Genomic DNA, 7,374 nt, shown 5'->3' on the forward strand with positions numbered 1-7,374 from the left:
AGCAGGTTTGCTCTGCCTTCTAGGGGGGAAATGACAGTTTCATGGAACCTCTGAGAACAATCATGCTTTTGAAAGGGATCACGAGGCCATTTCATTTGTCATTGGATGCACATATTTCAGCAAGGCTGGAAAATTTCTCATGTGGTTTGATTCACATGGTTTTGAAATCTTATTCAGACACAGACTTTGGCCAGGTCCCTGTAGAAGTCATAGGAGAGTTGGGGTTTCAAGACAAAACAATAAGAACAACAACAAAAATAATAAAACCAACAATCTTCAGTCCTTTTTGCTTAGTGGGGGTGGAAAGGCCACTGTAGAGAACTTCTTTAATCCAAGGACACCCACACCAATAAAAGCAGACGGCAAGGGAACCAGGACAAGCATGGCTGTGAAGGTAAGTCAGGTGTAACTGTGGTGGCCTGCAGCCCTTTCTATGTCTTTTCTTTCTGTTCCAAGTTCCCATTGTACCCTTGGGCTACATGAGGGACCTCTTGTTCTGGAGAGAGTGATTCATGTGTTGGGTGGTAGCAGTTTGCCTTACTGCCCCTCCTAGGAACACTTGCTATTAGAAAGATGAATGTGGGCCAGGCACAGTGGCTTACACCTGTAATCCCAGCACTTTGGGAGGCTGAGGTGGGCAGATCACGAAGTCAGGAGTTCGAGACCAGGCTTACCAACATGGTGAAACCCCATCTCTACTAAAAATTAAAAAATTAGCTGGGCTGGTGGTGTGTGCCTGTAATCCCAGCTACTCCAGGAGGCTGAGGCAGGAGAATTGCTTGAACCCGGGAGGTGGAGGTTGCAGTGAGCCGAGATTGCACCACTGCACTCCAGCCTAGGCGACAGAGTGAGACTCTGTCTCACAAAAAAAAAAATAAAATAAAATAAAATAAAGATGAATGTGGAACCTCAAGGGGGATGTTTCTGTTGATGGAGATCAAAGATTGTGGTCCTTGGGTGGGGAGACATGTTGAAACAGGAAGGCCTTCCCAAAGCCTCTCTAAATCATACTGCACCATGAAGCTCTTCTCAGCATTTGAGTAGGTCAGGCTCTGTGCCAAAGTGAGGTGGACCCTCTGGTTCTATTTCCTTTGCACTAGCATTCCACATGTTTCAATAGTCCCTGGTGGTGAAGAAGGGTTTTTGGAAAGCGCTTACTCTTTGAGGCTTCTGTACAGGTATGTACTAGACAAATGTCTTGACTTTTGAAAAGTCTGGATTAGAAAAGATTATTGAAGTCAGTTTGTTCCAAGAGTTAAAAGTGTTGGTATAAAAGTAGCTGCTAATGCCATTGGTTGTTAATGGGTAGAGTTTATATACCTCTGCCATGGGTTCTGGCTTTGTTCAATTGATAGAAGTTCTTATGTGGGAAGTTTTAAATGAAAGGCCTTTGTGGAGAGGGAAAAAATGAATGGCTGTTTAAAGGATTTAAAGAGGAAATATATTGCTATATGCATTTAGCTCCTTATATTAACATCTCACATGGTCAGGGCCCAATAAACCTCAAACCTTAATTTATTCATTCATACATTAATAAGCTTATTATTTTATTAATTTAATTCAGATTTTGTTAATGTTTACTGTACCATGCAACACTACGCTAGGTACATGGAATAAAATGGGTAAAGGATTCATTATTATATATGTGTGTGCATGTGCACATGGGCACATGTGTGTTGCAAGGCATAAGTCTAAAAGTTATGATTCAGCAGGATAAGGGGATGGAGGGAAGGTAGGAGTCTATGGGAGTGAGGAGGATAGAAGCACCCAGTCTAGCACTGGTGGAGATAGTCGGGAAGACAAGCCAATGAAACTGATGCTTGAGTTGAATCTTGAAAAATAATGAAGATCATTGATGGGAGAGGCTGTAGCTTGGTCAAAGCATAGGGAGCATTTGTATAAAAGCACAGAGGGAATGAAGCTGTTTAGGGAAACTAAAAGCATTTTTATAATTACGAGTTCTGAAGGATGTTAGGATTTTGATGAAAGAGAAGACTAGAGAGGAAAACCAAATCCAAACAGGAGGTGCTAAAGATTTGAGACCTGATCTTCCAGCTGATTGAAAATTGCTGCAGATTTTAAACAGGACTGTGCATTTTTGAAGGATCATTCTGGAAATGGTGGGGACTGGGTTAGAAGAGAATTAGATGAGAGGCAGAGAGGCCAATTAGAATGTTATAGCCATAGCCCAGGTGGGAAAGACTTCCCAAGAACAGTGGCAAAGGGGGATAGAAAGGAGCAGAGGGGCCAGAGTCACCGAGGAAGGAGAACTGGCAGAGCTGGTGAATGGGGTGGATGTTGGCGAGACAGAAGACGGCTCTCAGGCGTCCGGTCTGGGTGGTGATGATAAGCAGACCAATCCTAGAGACAAGGCTCGTTGTCTTGAGGAGGCTCCTCCATTAGGAGGAAGAGACCCAAGTTGGAAGAATTTGCATCCCCTTGGGAAATGATTAGACCACAAGGATTTGCTTGTATTAATCAAAGGGAATTCTTAAAAATGTATAAGCCAAATAGTCCACAATTGTGTGTGCAAGTGCTAGACTCAGTGGAACAGCCATCTTCAGTCATCTGTCTCTCTCTGCGGGGGACAAAGAGCACTGATATTTAGGATGATGACCCTGTGGCCTTACAAATCATGATCAAAGCTGAAATATTCAATTATATTCATTAAAGCAGGAAGGTGAACTTGGGCATTTGAATTTGAATGTATTCCAACTCTGCCTGCTGCCCACTTTCGAAACAATTAGAGCCAGTTTATAGATTTGGACTGTTCAAGATACACGAGGAAGGCAGAGGAGTAGGAGATTTTCAGGCCCTGGAGTTAAACGGACATCACCTTTTGACGATAAAATACCATGAGACAAAATTTTGGGTTCTTTCCACTAAGGCAAAAATATTTAATAAATTCCTTTTTGGTAATATAAAGCACGTACTTTCATCAGTTATTTAAAAAATACTGCAATGAAATTTATTTTACTTTTTTAAAATTTTAATTTTTGTTGGTACATAGTGGGTACATATACTTATCGGGTACATGAGATACTTTGATACAGGCATGCAATGCATAATAATCACATCATGGTAAATGGGGTATCCATCCCCTCAAGCATTTATCCTTTTGTTACAAACAATACAATTATACTCTCTAGTTATTTTTAAATGTACAATTAAATTATTGTTGACTATAGTCACCCTGTTGTTCTATCAAATACTAGATCTTATTCATTCTTTCTATTTTTTTGTATCGATTAGCCATCCATCTCCACCCTGCCACCCACTACCCTTCCCAGCCTCTGGTAACAATCCTATTCTGTATCTCCATGAGTTCAATTATTTTGATTTTTAACTTCCAGAAATAAGTGAGAACATGTAAAGTCTGTCTTTTTGTTGCCTAGCTTATTTCACTTATCATAATGACCTCCAGTTCTATCTATATTGTCTGCAGAGAAATTTAAACAAAAATCCATTAATAATTACTTCCGGTAAGGTAACATCAGCCTTGAAGTCGTCCAAGATTTAAACTGGAACTTTTTGTCTTCACTCTTCAGGCTAGAGAGTCATCCTTTAAACAACCCTTTTTTTTTTTTTTTTTTTTTTGACGGAGTCCCACTCTGTCACCCAGGCTGGAGTACAGTGGTGCCATCTCAGTTCACTGCAAGCTTCGCCTCCTGGGTTCATGCCATTCTCCTGCCTCAGCCTCTGGAGTAGCTGGGACTACAGGTGCCCGCCACCACGCCCGGCTAATTTTTTGTATTTTTAGTAGAGACGGGGTTTTCACTTTATTAGCCAGGATGGTCTTGATCTCCTGACCTCTTGATCTGCCCACCTCAGCCTCCTATCCGCCCACCTTGGCCACCCTCAGAGTAAATGTAAAGTCCACCACGCCCAGCCTAAACAACCTTTAAGAATCTCTTTTCCTTCTATTCCAAGCCCAGACCTCCCTCTCTGCATGCCTGGCCCTCTGCCTGGCATGCTGATGGCACTCTGCCTTCACTGTCTTCCCTCTCTGACCCATCTTGTATGCGCCTGTGCTTGTTCACTGATACACAGATGACACCCTAGTTGATATTCCCAGCCCTCACCTCTCCCCTGATTCTACTCAACATCTCCAAAGAGATGTTTAAGAGGCATTTTCAGCTCAACACAGTACAAAGTTACCTACTGATTTTATACCCCAAAAGCCATTTTCTGTCTTCCCCAATATCTCCATTACTTGCCAGCTCTGCCAGTTCTCCCTCCCTGGTGATTCTGGCGCCTCTGCTCCTGTCTTTGCCACTGCTCTTGGGAAGCCTTTCCCACCTGGGCTATAGCTACAGCATCTTAATTGGCCTCCCTGATTCTCATCTCGCTCTCCTCTAATTCAGCCCCCACCATTTCCAGAATGACCTTTCAAAAATGCAGAGTCCTTTTTAAAATCTGCAGCAGTGTTCCCTCAGTGTAAGGATCAGGTCTCAAATCTTCAGCACCTCCTGTTTGGACTCAGATTTCCTCTCCAGTCTTCTCACTTGAATCTTATCTCAATGTCAATTCTGGACTTCCAGTTGCCTATTTTAGAAAATTCTCTTGATTCTACCTGCAAAATCTATCCAGATTCTGATCACCTGTGACTACCTTTACCTCCAATTTCTGGCATTATCATCTATCACTTGGATTGAGTAAAAGCCTCCTGTTTGGTCCCAAGTCTGCCTCTGGTTCCTTCATAGTGTTCACAGAGCCATGGCCAGAGTGATCTTATTAATACCTTAGATGTGTTCCTCTCCTGCTCGGACGCCTCTGGCAGCTCCCTCACCCTCAGAGTAAATCTAAAGTCCTTGTAGGGGCCTCATAGCCCTTTCATCTGGTCTCTGGCTTCCTCCTTATTTCCTGCCAGTCTCCCCCCACTCATGGTGCTCCAGCCACACTGACTGCCTTTCTTTCCTTGCATCCAGATCCTATCTGCCTCAAGCGGGAATTCCCTGCCCTGTTCTCCAGTCTTGGCACATACTGTTCTCCCTGGAGTCCTTCCCACCTGCCCAGAGCTTCCTCTACTTTCAAGCTCACGTAAACTCACTTTCCCCATGAAGACTCCCTTGACATCCAGTGATTTTCCTTTGTCTCCAAACGCCAGTGTTCTATTTTGAGACTTGTGCTCATCTCCTCACTGGTAGGAGGCTGCCTGGTTTCTCTTCCTGATGTGATACAGCTGGCTGTGTGCCCACCAGCCAATGGGATGATCACTTTCCTGAAGCCAAGGACCATTTAGTTTGTTTTGATATCCTGAAGAGCCTCAGTATGGTCCACCTGTACATAAGCCTCTTAAGGATTCTGTTAGTTTGCTTTTGCCTCTGCATCAAGCTAGAAAAAGGGCACAGGGGAATGGAGAAACATGGTTCTTACTCTGGTTCTGACATCACCCTCAATGAAGAGGAGTGAATCACTGATACATCCAACCACATGGGTGAATCTCAAATGCATTACGTTAGGTGAAAGAAGAGGCACCCCAAAAATACATAGAGTATGATTCCACTGATATGACACGATGGGAAAGGCAAACTGGAGCAGTGGAGAATGCACCAGTGGTTGCCAGAGGCTGACAGTGAGGGAGGGTTGACTACAAAGGAATAGCAAGAATGAATTTTTTTGTGGAAGGTGATAGAAATATTCTGTATCAATTGTGATGCTGGGTCTGTGACACTATGCATTTGTCAACATTCATAAAACTGTATACCAAGAACAGTAAATTTTGTTTCTAAAATAAATTTAGAAAACACAAAAAAGCAGAACACTGCCTAACACATCTAAGTGTTTAATAAATGTTTCTGTTACCAAGAAAAAATAACTCTGCCTTGCAGGAAATAAAAAATTACCAATGGCAAAGACTTATTTACTGATGGAGTATTATCTGAAAAACAAATAAGATTGGTTGCAAAAAGATTTCCTAGTTTGTAAAATATCCAGTTGTACTTATGTTTCATAGGGATCACATAGTATCTTTAAAGTACTAAAAGAAAAAATTGTGAAAACATGGTATCTAAGTGCTAATTTCTTTAAATAATCTAAAATAAAACAATGCGCTTTAGTTTTAAAAAGTTGTGGTGTCCAAAGAAATACATTTTCATTGTTATTAAGCGTATGCAAAAAATTATAAACACAGACATACACAAACACAAATAGTTGTTTTCTTATTTTCCAAAGATAAAACTGTAGGGAATTAATATTGAGTCCTGCTTGTGCGAGGCACTGTTGTATTCATTAGATCTTATAATAATCCCATGAGGGAAGCAGTATTATCCCCATTGTATAGATGGCAACTATGAGACCCAGGGAGGTGAAGTGAGTTAAGAAAGGTTACAGGGTTGGTAGCATCTGCTCCAAGATGTAATCCAGGTCTGCCTGACTCTGCGGATGCATTTCCCACAGACACACACTCCTTCTGGCTGTACAAATGGCAGGCAGCCAACAGCTCCAGCTCACAAAGACAAGGCTCCCGCCTGAACAGCATGCAGCTCTCTCAAGTCTGGCCTCTGCTGAGAACCTCTGTCCCGCTGCCGGACCTGCAACCCCAAGGCTCCTGCCCTGTCAGTGGCTTCAGTGTGGTCACTGTGGTGAGGAAAATCTGTCCCTTTGCGAAGACACTGAGGCAGGGCCTGGATCTAAGCCGTATCTTCCTCAGCTGCAGTGCCAGCACAAAAGCAAACAGCCTCACAGGGGGCCATTCTGTCAGGAAGATAAATGCTGTCTCATTGATTCCCTCACCGAGGAGCTTGTCTGAAATGGCAGCTGCTAGACAGAAACGCTTTGAAGATTGAACCCAGGAGTCCAGTTCCAGCCTCTCTTTCAGTCTTGACTAGCAATTCAAACTCGCGTGACAAATTTAAGTCCATGTCACTGCCTAGGATAGAAAGTAAACTCGGTGAATGACACAACTTGCCAGGGATATCCTTAGACCGTTGCCACGTTGCCAGTACCAGGACAGATCCTACTGGCTACTATCTGCTGTAGGATTTACAGCCAGTCCCATCCCAGAATTTGCATGGGTCACAATGTCCTTCAAGGGCAAAGGGAAGTCCTGAAAAGGCAATGAAGTTCGAAAAAGGAGAGTACAGAGCGTCTCACTTGTCAGGACACGGGGAAGGGAGAAGGGTCCCTCGGAGTCCTGTGTATGAGTGTGTGACTGATACACACACTCATGAATGTGCATCGGGGTCCTATGTATGAATGTGTGAGTGATACATACACTCATGAATGTGCATCGGGGTCCTATGGATGAATGTGTGAGTGATACATACGCTCATGAATGTGCGTTGGGATCCTATGTATGAATGTGTGAGTGATACATACACTCATGAATGTGCATCAGGGTCCTATGGATGAATGTGAATGATACATATGCTC

The 7,374-nt window shown here is 43.1% G+C and overlaps 1 annotated feature.

Annotated features, from left to right (window-relative positions):
- Positions 760-948: a silencer, noted in NCBI's record as "fragment chr18:49187574-49187762 (GRCh37/hg19 assembly coordinates)". NCBI's record gives its function as "represses an EF-1alpha promoter that drives an FKBP-Casp9 reporter gene in an ReSE screen in K562 erythroleukemia cells {active_cell/tissue: K562}" and the evidence as "EXISTENCE:reporter gene assay evidence [ECO:0000049][PMID:32094911]".

The sequence above is a fragment of the Homo sapiens genome, chromosome 18 (genome assembly GCF_000001405.40).
Source record: "Homo sapiens chromosome 18, GRCh38.p14 Primary Assembly".
Classification (NCBI taxonomy): domain Eukaryota; kingdom Metazoa; phylum Chordata; class Mammalia; order Primates; family Hominidae; genus Homo; species Homo sapiens.